Genomic DNA, 19250 nt, shown 5'->3' with positions numbered 1-19250 from the left:
AGTCATGCACATGATCGGGCTTATCTTTTCAAAGAAAGGGACAGATGTTCAGAAGCAATTTTAGCAAGTAGAGAACAGACCCATTAAATAATTCAACTATTTTAACAAATCTCAACAATTCTGTTATTGAGAGGTAGAAATAAGCTATGTTTGATAAGCAAAAAAGAATAGCATGTACATTTAAGACATATACTAAGCACATATATATACTTATGGTGATGGAATAGAAGACTGGTGATATAAAGAAGGGAATATTCTGTCAGGAACCTGATGGAGGGTATGATTAACTTCACTCTTTGCAGCTCAGGTAGAGAGCAGGCATGGTCCCCAGTGCCTCCTAATTTGTCAATAATCAAGAAGCGATGGAAAAAGGCACTGTGGGACCTTAATGGCTATTGTGGTCGACACCGTGTATAATGAACAATGTACTCTAGAGATCTATCAGCTCCTTCACTGAGAGTAGCAAAATCCTCAACGATGAGGATGTTTCCTTTTTTGTGGCCTGTACATAGTAGGGCCACAATAAATGCTTGTTGCTGAAAAGAAATGATAAAGGAATGATTAGGAAAAGGGCAATGTATCAGGTAAGACCTGCATCCAATTACACATAGTAATATAAAATCCAAATCATGGTGGTTTAAACAAGACATTTGCTTTTCCCCTGTCTCATTTAACTCCCCAGATTTATGCAGTATGGGGCTGTTACCAGGCAGGAGTTTCTGTGATTCTCCTGGATTTTTTGTCATAGTCAGATTCAAGAGGACAGCTTTACTTTCAGCTATTATACCCACTTTTCAGGCATGTAGGAGTAAGGGCAAAGGAAAAGTCGGGGATGCTAGCTGAATCTGCCACCACCTTTAGAAGAATCTCCCAACAATTTCTGTTGTTATATCTCATTGACCAGAACTATGATATATGGCTATCCCATGGAATACAAATGACAAGGAGGGAGACCATTTTTTTGTTAAGCTGGTTATGTTACCTCCCCCAACAACATAGGAATCCTCTTAAGGCCTATCTGATATCCAACCTCCCAGCTTCCTTTCTAACCATCCCTTCCACTAGCATGTCAACCATCGCCCATTACAAATCAGAAAACAAAGGAGAGCTTTAGGTAAGGGGAACCCTAAGCCATTAGCCCTAGTTAAGATTAGGAATTTTGATTGGGAAGAAATTCCAAAAAACAATATTACAGGTGAGAAGGGCTGCAGTGGGAGGTAACATGTGGATGAGAGACCTGTGCATGAATTCTGTGAGCCCTGCCACAGCAATGGGGCCGCATGGGCTGAGAGTAAGACAGCAAGAAGGCAAGTGGAAATCGTCCCTGGTCATCCAAGAGAGTCAGCAGATTAGGGTCATTGCAAATTGGCACATTCTTGCTGTTCAGACAAGTTTTGTTTGGCTTGCCTATCCAGGTGAATCTAGATTGCATTTAAAAATGATTCCAATAAAGGAAATTTAAGAAATGGAAAATAAGGTATTTAACAGAGCTACAAAGTCATTTCACTCTAGAAAGGATAGTTCAGTGGTTAGGAGGCTAGTGTATGGGGGTCAACAAGCCATAGCCCTCAGGCCACATTTAGTCTTCAGCCTGTTTTCAGACTGAGAGTTAGATATTTAAAAAAAATTACATTTCTAAATAGTTGTTGTGAAAAAAATAAGGATATGTGAGAGAGACCATATGTGGCCCACAAGTCCTAAAATATTTATTATCTGGCTCTTTACAGAAGAAGCCTACCACCCATGTTCTCATAATGATGGTTATCATGAATAGAATACATAGGAAACACGGAATTAAGTTCAAATATTTTGTGAGCAATTTCTGCCATTCTAATGCATGCCTGTGTGTGTTGTACTTAAAATGTTGTCTCATTAAGACTCTTTACTTGTTCACAGGATGTAGGCAGTAATCACACCAACATCCAAATGTTCTTTTGAATATTAAATTACTTAATACTATAAAGTTCTGACAACAGGGCCTGGCACATAGTGGGTATGTAATAGCTATTTATTATTTTTATTGCTATTACTAGAGAGCAGGAAGAGTAAGTATACTACATAATTTGGTAGTGATATTAATCCAGTGAGGACAGAGAAATAATACTAGGCCTAAAAGCCCTATAAAAAGAATGCAAAAAATAAAGAAGGGGTCCAGTTAAAAATCATAAATGGGCATATCTAGAAAAAAATAACTTGAAATAAATGAAGTAGTGAGTGGAAGAAACAAAAACAGGATTGCTGGCAAGATGGCCGAATAGGAACAGCTCTGGTCTGCAGCTCCCAGCAAGATCGACGCAGAAGGCAGGTGATTTCTGCATTTCCAACTGAGGTACCCAGTTCATCTCATAGGGACTGGCTGGACAGTGGGTGCAGGCCACAGAAGGCGAGCTGAAGCAGGGTGGGGCATCGCAAGGGGTTGGGGAATTTCTCCCCCACCCAAGGGAAGCCATGAGGGACTGAGCCTGAGGAACCGTGCATTCTGACCCAGATACTGTGCTTTTCCCATGGTCTTTGCAACTCACAGACCAGGAGATTCCCTCTGGTGCCTACTCCACCAGGGCCCTGGGTTTCAAGCACAAAACTGGGCGGCTGTTTGGGCAGACACTGAACTAGCTGCAGGAGTTTTTTTTGTTTGTTTGTTTTTTCCCCATACCCCAGTGGTGCCTGGAATACCAGTGAGACAGAACCATTCACTCCCCTGGAAAGGGGGCTGAAGCCAGGGAGACAAGTGGTCTGGCTCGGTGGGTCCCACCCCCACGGAGCCCAGCAAACTAAGATCCCCTGGCTTGAAATTATCGCTGCCAGCACAGCAGTGGTCTGAGATCAACCTGGAATGCTTGAGCTTGGTGGGGGCAGGGCCATCCACTATTGCTGAGGCTTGAGTAGGCAGTTTTACCCACACAGTGTAAACAAAACGGCCAGGAAGTTCAAACTGGGCAGAGCCCACTGCAGCTCAGCAAGGCCACTGTGGCCAGACTGCCAGATTTCTCCTCTCTGGGCAGCAGATCTCTGAAAGAAAGGCAGTAGCCCCAGTCAGGGACTTACAGATAAAACCCTCATCTCCCTGGGACAGAGCACCTGGGGGAAGGGGCGGCTGTGGGCACAGCTTCAGCAGACTTAAACATCCCTGCCTGGCGGCTCTGAAAAGAGCAGCGGATCTACCAGCACAGTGTTTGAGCTCTGCTAAGGATCAGACTGCCTCTTCAAGTGGGTCCCTGACCCCTGTGTATCCTGGAAGGTGCCCCTTTGGGACGAAGATTCAAGAGGAAAGAACAGGCAGCAATCTTTGCTGTTCTGCAGCCTCTGCTGGTGATACCCAGGCAAACAGGGTCTGGAGTGGACCTCCAGCAGACTTGTAGCAGAGGGGCCTGACGATTAGAAGGAAAACTAACAAAGGAATAGCACGTCCACTCAAGAGACCCCATCAGAGGTCACCAACATCAAAGACGAAAGGTAGATAAATCCACAAAGATGGTGAGAAACAAGATGGTGAGAAACCAGTGCAAAAAGGCTGAAAATTCCAAAAACCAGAATGCCTCTTCACCTCCAAAGGATCACAACTCCCCACCACCAAGGGAACAAAACCAGACGGAGAATGAGTTTGACAAATTGACAGGAGTAGGCTTCAGAAGGTGGGTAATAACAAACTCCTCTGAGCTAAAAGAACATATTCTCACCTGGTGCGAAAAAACTAAGAACCTTGAAAAAAGGTTAGAGAAAGTTCTAACTAGAATAACCAGTTTAAAGAAGAACATATATGACCTGATGGAGCTGAAAAACACAGCACGAAAACTTTGTGAAGCATACACAAGTATCAACAGATAAATCGAACAAGCCAAAGAAAGGATATCAGAGATTGAAGATCAACTTACTGAAATAAAACATGAAAACAAGATTAGAAAAAAAAGAATGAAAAGGAATGAACAAAGCCTCCAAGAAATATGGGACTACGTGGAAAGACCAAACCTACATTAGATTAGTGTACCAGAAGGTGACGGGGAGAATGGAACCAAATAGGAAGACACTCTTCAGGATATTATCCAGGAGAAATTCCCCAACCCAGTAAGACAGGCCAACATTCAAATTCAGGAAATACAAAGACCACCACAAAGATACTCCTTGAGAAGAGCAACCCCAAGACACATAATCATCAGATTCACCAAGGTTGAAATGAAGGAAAAAACTTAAGGGCAGCCAGAGAGAAAGATTGGGTTACCCACAAAGGCAAGCCCATCAGACTAACAGCAGATCTCTCTGCAGAAACCCTACAAGCCAGAAGAGAGTGGGGACCAATATTCAACATCCTTAAAGAAAATAATTTGCAACCCAGAATTTCATAACCAAACTAAGCTTCACAAGTGAAGGAGAAATAAAATCCTTTACAGACAAGCAAATGCTGAGAGATTTTGTCACCACCAGGCCTGCCTTACAAGAGTTCCTGAAGGAAGCACTAAGTATGGAAAGGAAAAACCGGTACAAGCTGCTGCAAAAACATACCAAATTGTAAAGACCATCGACACTATGAAGAAACTACATCAACTAACAGGCACAATAACCAGCTAGTATCATAATGACAGGATCAAATTCACGTATAACAATATTAACCTTAAATGTAAACAGGCTAAATGCCCCAATTAAAAGACACAGACTGGCATATTGGCTAAAGAGTCAAGACCCATCAGCATGCTGTATTCAGGAGACCCATCTCACATGCAAAGACACACATAGGCTCAAAATAAAGGGATGGAGGAATATTTACCAAGCAAATGGAAAGCAAGAAAAAAAAAGCAGGTGTTGCAATCCTAGTCTCTGATAAAGCAGACTTTAAACCAACAAAGAACAAAAGACAATGAAGGGCATTACATAATGGTAAAGGGATCAATGCAACAAGAGACCTAACTATCCTAAATATACATGCACTCAATACAGGAGCACCCAGATTCATAAACCAAGTTCTTAGAGGCCTACAAAGAGACTCAGACTCCCACACAATAATAGTGAGAGACTCTAACATCCCAATCTCAATATTAGACAGATCAACAAGACAGAAAATTAAAGATATTAGGGACTTCAACTCAGCTCTGCACCAAGCAGACCTAATAGACATCTACAGAACTCTCCACCCCAAATCAACAGAATATACATTCTTCTCAGCACCACATTGCACTTATTCTAAAACTGACCACGTAATTGGAAGTAAAACACTCCTCAGCAAATGCAAAAGAACAGAAATCATAAAAAATGGTCTCTCAGACCACAGTGCAGTCAAATTAAGAAATTAACTCAAAACCGCACAACTACATAGAAACTGAACAACCTGCTCCTGAATGACTACTGGGTAAACAATGAAATGAAGGCAGAAATAAAGATGTCCTTTGAAACCAATGAGAACAAAGACACAAGGTACTAGAATCTATGGGAAACATTTAAAACAGTGTTTAGAGGGAAATTTATAGCACTAAATGCCCACAAGAGAAGGCAGGAATGATCTAAAATTGACACCCTAACATCAAAATTAGAAGAACTAGAGAAACAAGAGCAAACAAATTCAAAAGCTAGTAGAATACAAGAAATAACTAAGATCAGAGCAGAACTGAAGGAGCTAGAGACACTAAAAACCCTTCAAAAAAATCAGTGAATGCAGGAGCTGGTTTTTTGAAAGGATCAACAAAATAGACCACTAGCCAGGCTAATAAAGAAGAAAAGAGAGAAGAATCAAATAGATGCAATAAAAAATGATATAGGGGATATCACCACTGATCCCACAGAAATACAAACTGCCATCAGAGAATACTATAAACACCTCTACACAAATAAGCTAGAAAATCTAGAAGAAATGGATAAATTCCTGGACACATACACCCTCTCAAGACTAAACCAGGAAGAAGTTGAATCCCTGAATAGACCAATAACAAGTTCTGGAATTGAGGCAGTAATAATAGCGTACCAACCAAAAAAAGTCCAGGACCAGATAGATTCATAGCCAGATTCTACCAGAGGTACAAAGAGGAGCTGGTACCATTCCTTCTGAAACTATTCCAAACAATAGAAAAAGAGGGAATGCTCCCTAACTCATTTTATGAGGTCAGCATCATCCTGTTACAAAAACCTAGCAGAGACGCAACAGAAAAAGAAAATTTCAGGCCAATATCCCTGACGAACATTGATGAGAAAATCCTCAATAAAATACTGGCAAACCGAATCCAGCAGCACATCAAAAAGCTTATCCACCATGATCAAGCCGGCTTCATCCCTGGGATGCAAGGCTGGTTCAACATACGCAAATCGATAAACGTAATCCATCACGTAAACAGAACCAATGACAAAAACCACATGATTATCTCAATAGATGCAGAAAAGGCCTTCAACAAAACTCAATAGTGCTTCATGCTAAAAACTCTCAATAAACTAGGTATTGATGGGACGTATCTTAAAATAATAAGAGCTATTCATGACAAACCCACAGCCAATATCATACTGAATGGGCAAAAACTGGAACCATTCCCTTTGAAAATCGGCACAAGAGAAGGATGTCCTCCCTCACCACTCCTATTTAACGTAGTATTGGAAGTTCTGGCAAGGGGATTCAGGCAAGAGAAAGAAAGAAAGGGTATTCAAATAGGAAAAGAGGAAGTCAAATTATCTCTGTTTGTAGATGACATGATTGTGTATTTAGAAAGCCTCATCATCTCAACCCAAAATCTCCTTATAAGCAGATAAGCAACTTCAGCGAAGTCTCAGGATACAAAATCAATGTGCACAAATCACAAGCATTCCTATACACCCATAACAGACAGAGAGCCAAATCATGAGTGAACTCCCATTCACAATTGCTACAAAGAGAATAAAATACCTAGGAATGCAACTTACAAGGGATGTGAAGGACCTCTTCAAGGAGAACTACAAACCACTGCTCAAGGAAATAAGAGACGACTTAAACAAATGGAAAATCGTTCCACGCTCATGGATAGGAAGAATCAATATCATGAAAATGGCCATACTGCCCAAAGTAATTTACAGATTCAATGCTATCCTCGTCAAGCTACCACTGACTTTCTTCACTGAATTGGAAAAAACTACTTTAAACTTCAAAGGGAACCAAGAGAGTCCACATAGCCTAGACAATCCTAAGCAAAAAGAACAAAGCTGGAGGCATCACGCTCCTGACTTCAAACTATACTACAAGGCTACAGTAACCAAACAGCATGGTACTGGTACCAAAACAGATACATAGACCAATGGAACAGAACAGAGGCCTCAGAAATAACACCACACATCTACAACCATCTGATCTTTGATAAACCTGACAAAAACAAGCAATGGGGAAAGGATTCCCTATTTAATGGTGATGGGAAAACTGGCTAGCCATACGCAGAAAACTGAAACTGGACCCCAAGTGAGTTTCCTCACTTGTCATTACTACAGCCTCAAAGGGTCATTAAATTAATGAAATAACATACCTAGCAAGGAACATGGTAGGAAGTATATTTTGCTACTCACATGCCCGTTTCTTCCTCCCATTCCTCTTCCTTGGTGAAATCATGTTGGTCATGGTGTGTTAACCAATCTCCCAGACCAGGAAGAGGCAAACTAACTGATGAAGGTGTGGGTTCTGGAAGATAGAGCCCATGTCTTAGTTTAACTCTGATCCTTAATACTTCTATAGTTTTGGTACCTGCAAATGTCTGTGGAAAGAAAGAATGCGTGAATGTACAGAAGGAAAGGTGTACAGACAGAAAGATAAAGGGGAAAATGTTACTGAAAGAATATGAAATAGCTTACCTCCAAAAGGTATTCAACTCAAAACGTTTTATTTTTATTTCATTTTAGTTTTTGAGACAGGGTCTCTATCACCCAGGCTGGAGTGCACTGGTGCCATCATGGCTTGCTGCAGCCTGGACCTCCCAGGCTCAGGTGATCCTCCCACCTCAACCTCCCAAATAGCTGGGAGTGCAGGTGAGCACCACCACGCCTGGCTAATTTTTAGTATTTTCTGTAGAGATGGGGTTTCGCCATGTTGCCCAGGCTAGTGTTGAACTCAAACTCCTGGACTCAAGTGATCCACCTACCTCAGCCTCCCAAAGTGCTGGGATTACAGGCATCAGCCACCGTGCCTGGCCCAAACAATTTTATAATTTGCTAGGACATTTTAGTAAATTCTTTTGTTTGTGTGAAGTAAATTATCTGCACATATCACATAAGAAAACTGGAGTAAGGTGAAATGATTTAATTTCTCAAAGCCTTCCCTAGTTAGTGGATATATTCAGAAAAGAATTCAGTCATTCCTGGTGACATATTGTGTGGTCCCAATCATTTTTAACATGTGTACCAAGCACTATATAATTAAGTCTATCTTACCAGTTTAACTTCACTCTATGTATTTTAAATATTGAAATGCTTAAAGGAAAAAGAAAGGGGTGACATTTCAGCTAGTAATGTTATTGTTGTGTTATAATTGACAATATGGCCCATTATGTTTTCTTACGGATAAGAGGTTATGAATTATTAGTCTCAAGAATAACAGTGTCCCTCTCCAAAACCTAAATATTCATAGCAACCCTTGGGGTTGACATATACAGGCAACTGACTTCTTTTTTATATTTATTTTCATTGTTATAAAATATATATAGCATAAAATTTACCATTTTAACCATTTTTAAGCATATAGTTCAGGAGCATTAAGTGCATTCACAATGCAGACTTCTGATTCTTAATTGAATATTCCAAGGAGATGGTTATGGCTCTTTTCCTTTCCACCTAACTCCCATTTATGATCTACAAAATGTGTGATATGACAAAATTGTTTTACAGTTTTGCAAAGGGCATTTCAATTAAATATCACACACATACACAGTCCACCCTCCATGTCCATATGTTCTGCATTCACAGATTCAACCAACTACAGGTCAAAAATATTAAATAAAAACATCAAAAATAATATGATCATAAGAATAATACAAATTTAAAAAACAGTAGAGTATAACAATATTTATCAGTTACATAAAATTATATCGAGCATTGTAAGTACTAGAGATGATTTAAGTTATACCAGTGGCTATGAGTAAGTAAGTTATATGGAAATAGTACACCATTTTTTATAAGGGGTCTGGGCATCAGTGGATTTTGGTGTGCTCAGAAGGAGGGTCTTGGAACCAATCCCCCATGGATACCAAGGGGTACATGTACTGACTTCATATAATATACAGTTGACTACGTATAACATATATAATGGATTAATATGAAGATATAAAATTCACCATGTTTGATCAATATTTTATATTCACTGCTTTTCCTTCCTTATCAAAACTGCACTTTGGAAATTGATAGAGTAACAGTATTGAACTAAGTACTCAGAAGATTGAGATCTTATAATAAGTGTACATCTCTGCCCCTTCAGCAATTCATTTAACTTCTCTGAACCTTAGTTTCCTCATCTATAAAACAGAAATAATCAAGTTGTACAACCCATCACACAAGCATATTGGAAAGATTAAATTGGTACTTTGAAAATCGTAAACACTACGCAAATGTAATATACTCATATTATAAAGAAATGGCTCTTGTTGTTATTTGGTTTTAAAAATCTCAATAAATTTTTTGCAAAGATAGGTCAGTGTAATTGGCTCTTATATTTTTCCAGTAAGAAAATACTCATCCTGAAAGCATGAAGGATGTATAATAAGTCACTGGACAGATAAGAGAAAAATTAAAATAAAATCAAAATGCCTTTTCTTTATGATAGAAAATATGGTATCTATCAAATGAAATAATTTTATTTTCCCTGTAGCTTCTCTAAAAATGTGGAAAATTAAAATTTAACCATCAGCAAAATGTATATTATATATTGTAAATGAGAGTTACACTTTTCAATAACACATATTTTAATCATAGCTTAAAACAAACTGTTTAGTATTTTAGAAATACTAAACCTGTGATGTCTGACCTCAGTTGTGAAGTCTGGAATAAAATGTTGATTCCACTGTCAGTTTAACAATCTAGAGAGCCTTTTGTGTAAGTGTGTCTTCTGGCAGCTACAGAGATGTGCCGTTCCCTGTTGGGCTGACTGACTTTCCCAGACAATCGTCTTACCTCTCCCCCTTTCACAGGTGAGCAGAGCCTCACAGTGGAGAGGATTTCTCCGCCTTCTCCCGTTCCACTTCCCTTTATCTCTCATAGGTATAATCCTGGGTACATCTCATACTTCCAACTCAGTCTTGGCATTTGATTCTTGGAGGCTTAAATCAACACAAGTATCTCTTTTCCCCTGCCATATGAGCTTGTGGTGAACAAAACTTGAGACACATTTCACATGGCTTGGTTTTACGACATACATTAAACTGTATTCCTGAGAAGATTTTTTAAGGCAATCATTTATATTTCAAATAATTTTTGCCCATTGCTAATGAGATGGTTTGGCCCTAGTGTATGCATACTAAGAAAAACTCTCATGGTTCATTCTTTCCTACCCAACTCATATGGCTTATGCTTAATCTTTTTCATAACATCTATATCTAAGATGGTAAGTGAATTTCTGATTCACTCAGGTCTTCTCTCTCTGACCTCTTGAATTTTAAAGTATTTAGTTAGCTGCACAAACACTGCCTTCACATCTGCTCCAGGTGCACCATAGATGTCAGTAGGATGAACCATATATAAAAATACATTTTGAAACAAGGTAAGCATACTTATTCATTATCTCTGACCGTATCCTTTAACTCTAAAGGTCACTGACTGGTGGTTGCTAGCATTAGCTTTTCAGATAATAAGCAGACCTATTCATTATCTTCAGTCATATCCTTTAACTCTAAAGGTCACTGAGTTTGGTGGTTGCTAGCATTAGCTGTTCAGATGTACAGTCTGAAAGGATAGCATAAATTAAAAGTTGATCTCTTCCATAGTCTATTACATGTGTAAACCTCAAAATGCCAGATAACTTCTTGAATAACTGCCCTGTTCCACCTTCTGAACAGATCACATTCCAGTTGTCGTCTTAGGGCAGGTTTTTAAACCATGTAGGGTAGAGCTTAGGAGGTTATAATGCTCATCTGAATGCGTGAATCACTGACTATTTCATTCCCTGAAGGACTTAGTCATGGACTTGGGCACATCAGTAAAAAGTAATATTTGGCAAAATATCTCTAGGATGAATTGACTACAGACAGTCCCAGACTTACCGGAGTTCAACTTCATGATTTTTCACCTTTATGATGGTGTGAAAGCAATATGTGTTCAGTAGAAACTGTACTTCAAAGTTTGAATGTTGATTCAAATTTTGTATAATAACTTTAATATAAAATAGGTTTTGTGCTAGATGCTTTTGCCCAACTGTAAGCTAAGGAAAGTGTTCTGAGTATGGTTAAGGTCAGCTAGGCTAAGTTATGATGTTCAGTAGTTAGGTGTATTAAGTGCATTTTCAACTTACTTACAATGGATTTATCATGACGTAACCCCATCATAAGTAAAGGGGTATGTGTAGATTAAAGTTAACCATGAAATAGACCTAAAGCCACATAGTAGATATTTATCTTTCTGTAAAATAATAGCTCTTGACAATTATAGAATGTCCAGTGTATTTCAAACTATATATTCTCTATACCCCATCTCTTTAATTCTTGCAATAGCTCTGGAAGGTAGGTAATATTATTTTCCCTATTCTGTATCTGAGGATCCCAAGGATATAGAGGTGAAATGATTTGCCTCAAGTCCCATTTCAAACAAGTGACAGAGCCTGAATTTGAACCAACATCCACTTGATTCAGAGCAATATGTTTATAAGCACTGTATAACACAGCTTCATTTCATATCTGCATTCACTGCTGACTGAATATATTGTCCATACCTTTTCAGTTCATTGCTCTGTTCCCAGCTGCAGGACATTTACTGCTTGTGGGAAATAGGTGACTCCATGAACTGTTCCTGTATCCAGCAATATAAGAAACTTTAAAGACTTAAAATTACTTGTTCTTTTTAACGAATTAGAAACAAGTTATTAGTATTGCTCACTCTAATCCTAAAATGAACCTACAAGATGAGAAATGTTAATATCAAACTAATTATTAGGAAATGAAAAAGAAAATGAATAAAGAATGCATAAAATGTGGTAGAAGGTATTAACAAAGGGGGCAGGCAGTGGTTCATTCAGAATTGGAGAGAGTGTTTATTTCCATATTAGGAACAAAGCTTGCATCCAGTCCTTCTTGCTTGTAGTCAACAAGCTTCCCACTTCCAACCTCTATGACAGTATACATGTTGGCACCATCTATAAATACCCAAATCCCTAAGCTTTAAATACTATTCAATTTTCAAATTGAATTTTCTTTTATGTACAAACGTGTTGCAGACTTGGATTTCCAGACATTAAATAATTGTACATGGAAACAATTATATATTAGGATTTTCTGCCACCAAGTGGTAATAATACTTCCTTGCACCATTGGATAGGTTTACTCTTCTCTGTATCATTAAGTTTTTTATGAAATATTTACTGAATTTCTATGATGTATTAGAAACTGACTAGAATTTTTTTCTGAAAATAAAATATGTTATATATGCATCCAAAACTTGGTATTTAATACTTAGAAAAAAACTAGACCCATAAAAATGCTTCATGTGAGTTTATATTTAGTTTTATGCCATTTAACTATACCAGTGATTCTCACCCAGGGGTGATTGTGCCCTCCACTCCTAATCTGGTGCCTTTGATAATACCTACAGATATGTTTGGTTGGCACAATAGGGGGTGGTGGGAGCTGTGACTGGCATCTAGTCTGTAGATTAGAGGCCAGGGGTGCTGCTAAGCATTCCATAATGCACAGGAGACCACCTACACCAAAGAATTATCTAGCCCAAAATGTCAATGGTGAGTTAATGAATAGATGGTAAATAAATCAGAGACATGATGGTTATGAGCCTGCCCTTACCTGCATGCTTTATCATAATGGGCTTAGTGGGAGCTTCACACTGGTCTTCACCTTTTATGATGTTCTTAAGGCATAAATCATAGTTTCAAAGCCAGGGTTCCCATTATATTATTTAAGATGTTATGTGGAAGTTTTTATGCATTTCACAAATTCATAAATTAGTGGGGCTTGAATGATAGAAACTAGGTAGACCACTTCCTTCATTGTCAGACAAGGTTATAGAAAGTTGAAGCATCTTGCCTCTGTTCCATGGCTAGCTTGTGGCAAAGCCAGATGGTATTTATCCTTGAGGTTCCCTTCAAGTGCTCGTTTTGGGAACCTAAACTGCCTCTCTTTGGTTAATTTGATGAATTATGTAATTTATCAGAGTGGTTTTAAAATTCAGTATAAGTAAAATTATATGGACACTAAAATTTTTAGAGTGAGTAAAAGAAAAAGGAAATAATAGATACATGAAAAATGATGCTATTTTCAAATTTATATATTGTTTATTATTAATCTTATCAATCTTGCCATATTTTTCATAATTGAGCTGTTACCATAACTCAGCTATACCATAATTGCTTATGTTCATTTATACACAGAGCCTAGCACAGCACCTTACATTTTGAGGACCCTCAATATATACTTGAATATATAGATGAATGTCTGAGTAGCTGTTTTAATTCAGTATGTGGCTATTTAAAGTATCAAAGCAAAGCACTGAAGTGAATGCAAGGATTTTAATTCAGAAAATGCATTAAAGAGGTTTTAAATCATCCTCTTAGCATGTTAATAAGGTATGCTTTATTGCAGATTGCTTTAATTTTTTGTTATTTGCCTATTTGGGTTAATGTATTTTAATTTGAAAAGTGCTGCCCAAATGGGATAGTATACAGTACCTAAAATTCAAACATTAATTAGAGCTTTTTTTGAAACTGAATTCTGCTCCACCACAGTCTTACCCTGGTGTTTCTGCAGGATCCACATCAGACCCTGCTTCAGGTGTGGATGTCTTAGTTAATCAGGTGGCACTGTTGATCCCCCATCAATGGACTTCTGAGATCACCACCATTATTTCCTCAATTTGTTTGACTCTTTCTCTACCATGCATTCATCTGTGAGAAGGTTAACGCGTGATTCTCATGACAACGTGATTGGCAGCCACAAAGTCTAAGAGACTCCTCAGACAACCTCTAACAAACAGCCATTAACAAACTGAACACACCTAAAATGTCACTGATTTGTCTTGGAAGACAGAATACTAAGCAAGATAAATGGCACTATACATATAGATAATTTGTGTATGTAAGACTATTAGTTCATTAGATAACTAATCTCACTACTTTATTTAAAAGAAAATGTAAGTAGGAATCCATTTCTAAATCTTTTCAAATTACAGGTTGGGCACAATAAACAACCAAGTATAAGGAGCTCAGAAGATTTCCATCTAAATAGTTTCAATAATCCTCCAAGACAATATCAGGTAAGCATGGATTTTTAAAGGAATAAAACTAGTTACTTGTAATATTTAGGTTCTTGAACTATGTGATTCTTTAAAGTATCAGGATATTTTTCTCAATATCAAATAATGCATTAATTCAATAAATATTTATTAATTACCATGTACCAGGCATTTTGTAAGTGACAGAGATATATAAGTTAAAAAAAATAAAGTATTGGAATCACAGATCTGAAAGTCTCCATTAAAAAAGAGAGTGTTCATTGAAAAGGCAAACCTTACAAAAAACATAAAGACGACAGTAAAATTCATGTCAGATTCCACCAGTGAGAAACAAAGTCTGCTTGCTTTTGGTGAAAATTCTGCCAGATGATTATATGCCTATATGTGCATAATTTTACATATATTTTAATATTATTATAAAATGCATATATAATACTATATAAATCAGCTAATACTTATATAATGAGTAATAGTTTTTAGCTTGTGATTTTCTCTCCACAAAATATATATTCCTATTAATTTCAGTGAATGTATCATATTCCTTCATACAAATATATAATTTACTAAAAATAATTCCTTACTGATGAACATTTAAAGTTTCATTTTTGTCTATTATATAACTAGTTCTATGAACATACTTGTTAATGTACTAAATCATATCTTTAGAATAGATTCTTGAAGGTAGAGTTTTACTATCTACCATTTAACCTTGGCTTAGGTGTAAAATTTTATTTAGTTCTATATCCATCAAGACTTTCTGAGCACCCACTAAGACTCCTTCTTTTTATGAAAAATATATAATAAAAGCAATGTTTGCATGATAGAAGCCCAGGTACTTGAAAAATATATTACATTGAAACTAGCATTCCTAAATTAATAGAAAGTTTAAAATAAAAATTGGTTCCATTTTTTGGTGGGTCAGACGTGGGGCTTAAATGAGCAGACATTAGCTTAATTTCCCATTTCCACGAGCAGTAGTGTACATCTTTTACCTACCCCACTGAAAGACTGTCTTACTCTAATACTTTTCAAATAAAATACAAGCAATGGACATAAAGGATTTCATACTTGCTCTAAACATTCTTTTCTAAGAACTCACTTTTGAGTCATTAGCCTAGGTGATGTGAAAACTGCTTTAAAAAGGAAAGCAAAATGTAGAGATCGCCTGCATCCTGGCTGAATCATCTTAGTCCTTGACAGCCATCACTTCCAAAGGGCTCACTACAGGGAGGAAGACTCTGAAACTTGTTCCAAATGAGAGATTTGTCATGAACCTGAAACTGACATAGATTTCTCCTTTCTCTGTTTTCTAGAAAATAATGAAAAGGCTCATTAAAAGATATGTACTGCAGGCCCAGATAGATAAGGAGAGTGATGAAGTGAACGAAGGTGAGTTGAACGCAGAAGCAAATCAGCCCCTGAATGTGAGTCAGGACGGGGGCCTAGCGCAGAGTGCCTGGAGAGCTGCAGAGATGCGTACAGGGAGAGTGAACTTCAAGGGGAAAAGTAGAACAGGATCTCACCAACCGCCGTTCTGTTAAAGAGTGGGGAACAGGCTATGTCTCCACAGGCGGGGACAGGTGCCACTTGCTAGATAAAAAGCTCTCATTCTTATGGTGGACTTGGAGGGAGGAGGAAGTGGGTGGGAAAGGCAAGGAAGGGGCTGCTGCCTCAACCCCTGAATCATTCACCACCTTTTTGTTTTAACTTACTTTAGGAGGGCTTTTGTTATCATTCTGCTATAATCTCTTCATTCACAAAAACACTTAGCTAAGAAAACAAAAACCTGCTCAATTAGGAAGTTATTTCCTTTCAAAGGATTCAAAATAAAATTGTGTGTGAAATTAGAGCTGATTTCCTCCTGTCCCACAGTCACTAGTTTTTCCGCATTGCGTATTTATAGTTGACTTCTTATCACTCTTGCTTTCAAAGGGGAACTGAAGGAAATTAAGCAGGACATCTCAAGTCTCCGCTATGAACTCCTTGAAGAAAAATCTCAGAATACAGAAGACCTAGCAGAACTTATTAGAGAACTTGGAGAGAAATTATCCATGGAACCAAATCAAGAGGAAACCAATAGATAATGCGAAGACTTCCTTAGAAATTCATATTTATTTGTCCACTTGAAGCCATATTATTTTCTGATTTATTTTCTTAAGTGCCAATGGGCCCACCTTTTAAACAAGAAAACGTTAAATAACTTGGGCCATCCTATCATCTGGAGCCCTAGTATCTAATTTTTTTGGTGATTAAACTCCATTGTTCAGGGTAAAGGCTGTAGATAATGAGGAAAATTATGCCCAGTTGTTTGGTGCTTGTTTTATAAACTGCTTTCTTGGATATAACTAACTCTTGTGATGATGTCATTGCCATGTAGTGTCTGCCTGAAAATGGGTCCCAGCGGACAGGGGCTGACCCACGTTACTCCCCATGCGGTTTTTCCTCTGAAGTTTATTTCAGGTTCCTTCTTGCCTGCTCTGTGGATCCCCTGCTGGGGACTCCCAGCTCTGAAATTTGGGAAAAAGTAGCCCATGGGCCTTTAGAATGCTTTAATCCTTTCTTTAGAATGCTGTTTAAACACCATTTACCCTACTTATCCCTCAATGCACATGATTGATACCGTTCATACAAAATGGTCTTACATCTATGTAAAATTTTCTGATTCATCTATTTGAAAACATTACACTTAACAATGAAAAAAGTTTTTCCTCCACTGAACCCTGGAAACATGGTCCAGTTTTGTGTGTGTGCGTGTGTGTAAATGTGTACACACAGACATAAAGTACTTGCCCTAGTTTGTGGCTAATGTGGACACACAAAAGCTCTTTATGTTATAAATTTTTATTGTCACTAAAAAATTTTACTGTCTAAATAAGTACCTTTTATTGGAGAAAAATCAAAACCCCAAACAAACACTGTGGTTGTTTGGTTCCATTATAGCACAATTTTGTGCCATTTCTGGGAGCATTTACAGATGAATCCCCACACTTAGCCATTGAATGTAAAGGGGAAAAATAAGGTGAGAATTTGTAAATACTTATCTGTTATTTTCAATATGTTCTATCCTTCTACCCAAATATATAAAACAGGAATTTGCATTCATGTGCATTTACCAAGAGGTTGTTGTTGTTACTTACTGATCATGTGAAGTGGTGTCTTAAACAACTAAAAGCGATGAAGGTTCATATGTTTACTCAAAGACCATTGGCATTCAGAGGATGCTGGACATTAACTGGAACTGCTACTTCCAATTCAATAATGGGAGATTTCAAATGCAAATCTTTAACTTCATCTTAAAGATGAAATGGTTGCAGAAAATCTGTTTAGCTCCAACTTTGGCTTAATTTAAATCAAAGAACATTTATGTAACCAGATCAGAAAATACAGCTGAAAATTTATATTCAGTGATTTTGTATTTGTGGATACTACTTATGGAAAAGTTACTTGGTGATACATAAAGATCGATTTTCAAATATTTTGTGACAGTATTTGAATCAGCAGTTGTAAAAAATCAACCTCATACTGAATGCACTATCAGCAAATTAAAATAATCTAACATCCACAAAAAAGTGTGTGTTGTGCCATGCGAGAGATGGACCTTCATCCCAAGGATGCTCTATGACAGCACATGGTCTTGACTCCAGAAGACTCAAGAAAAGATATTCAGATTCCTCAGTGTCTTTTAAGTTGGATTGACTTGACAAGATATAAGTTTTGGGAAACTCAACAGGCATGACTGTGGGTTCCTCAGCAAAAGGCACTACCCTCCTGGTGGCTCTTATGGTTCAAACTAATGTCCTGAAGTCAGATTTTCATCAAAGTGCAACTGAATTGACATCTCTTCGAATTTCATCTTCCAACTTAGAATAATTGGCATTTCTTCTAAGTTGGAAGATGAAAAAGGAAATTAAACGCATTTTAAGAAAGCTTTTAAAATTCTGATAAGAGCTTCATTACAGGCACATCGCCAAAAGATGGTCATAAGCATGGGAAAAGTCTCAAGACCACTGGCTTTAAATCCTACCTTCACGTCGCAGTCGGCTTCATCTTTGAAACTAAGATGATAAGTTGAAACGTTTTTATCCCAGTTGCTCTCCTGTCCTATTTCTCCCCTCTGAGTGGATGCTTTCTGGAGGTTCATGCACCCGTGAGTAGGATGAAGCAGCGCTGCTTTTCACTGTGACCACACAGCTGCTCCCTGAGGGCTGAGCCCTGCCCACTCTTCACCATCTCACCACAGATCGACCACCAAGGAACAGAAAAAAGTCCCTGTTTTTGTCCATCAATGCCTGGGTTTCCTCTCTGCTGCTCTTATTACTTGAAACTGAGAAATAGCACAAACTCAATATGATTTTATGAGGCATATCAAAGAAATTACCAGAATCTGCTGTCTGCTTAAAACTACCAGGGATTGAAAGGAGAAGAAAATGAGTGTTTGAACTCAAGGTACTTGCAACCAAATGGGGTAATGGGCCTTAATACAAGTATGAGAAATGTTGAATATTTTCTATGAATTATCAAATTTAATCTAACTTAATGCTTACAATGACTGTGTGAGGTAAATTCTATCATTATTCTCACTTTGGAAAGGAGACAACTGAAGGAGTTAGAGGCTAGGTGACTTACACATGGAGTGTCAAAGCCAGAAATGAACACTATGCCTGCCTCACAGTTATTGTAGGTCTTGATGAGGCATATGGAAGTGTGGTCGTCTCATTGCGTAGCTTATATTTAAGTTTCTAGGTGAGGAAGAATATGTGGTACCTGAACACCCTAGCTCCCATTATATGTCCAGTCTAGGGAAAAATAAGCATTAGGCAAAGAAGGCTATGGGTTAAGAGAGGATTTGGTTTCAAAAGGATTGTAGATATTGGGGAGGAGAAGTA

The 19250-nt window shown here is 37.9% G+C and overlaps 1 protein-coding gene across 6 annotated transcripts in view, besides 1 other annotated feature; it reads left to right on the top strand.

The window, feature by feature from the left end:
- The window catches only part of TRPC6 (transient receptor potential cation channel subfamily C member 6), a 132444-nt gene extending 114605 nt beyond the window's left edge, over window positions 1–17839 (top strand). For 5 of the 6 annotated variants that reach the window (XM_047427509.1, NM_001439335.1, NM_004621.6 and 2 more), the window contains 3 exons: window positions 14302–14385; window positions 15678–15753; window positions 16297–17839. In XM_047427509.1, coding sequence (XP_047283465.1) covers window positions 14302–14385; window positions 15678–15753; window positions 16297–16448 — 312 coding nt within the window. In that variant the 3' untranslated portion in view covers window positions 16449–17839. Of the gene's footprint in view, window positions 1–14297; window positions 14386–15677; window positions 15754–16296 lie in introns of those variants that run through there. The other variant, XM_047427510.1, reaches the window with a different exon arrangement.
- Window positions 2996–3679: an enhancer, noted in NCBI's record as "NANOG-H3K27ac-H3K4me1 hESC enhancer chr11:101336455-101337138 (GRCh37/hg19 assembly coordinates)". NCBI's record gives its function as "activates a minimal SCP1, AML or CMV promoter by ChIP-STARR-seq in naive H9 embryonic stem cells {active_cell/tissue: H9 hESC(naive)}" and the evidence as "EXISTENCE:reporter gene assay evidence [ECO:0000049][PMID:30033119]".

Source organism: Homo sapiens, chromosome 11 (assembly GCF_000001405.40).
Source record: "Homo sapiens chromosome 11, GRCh38.p14 Primary Assembly".
Lineage (NCBI taxonomy): Eukaryota > Metazoa > Chordata > Mammalia > Primates > Hominidae > Homo > Homo sapiens.
This window is presented reverse-complemented; position numbering and strand designations above follow the sequence as displayed.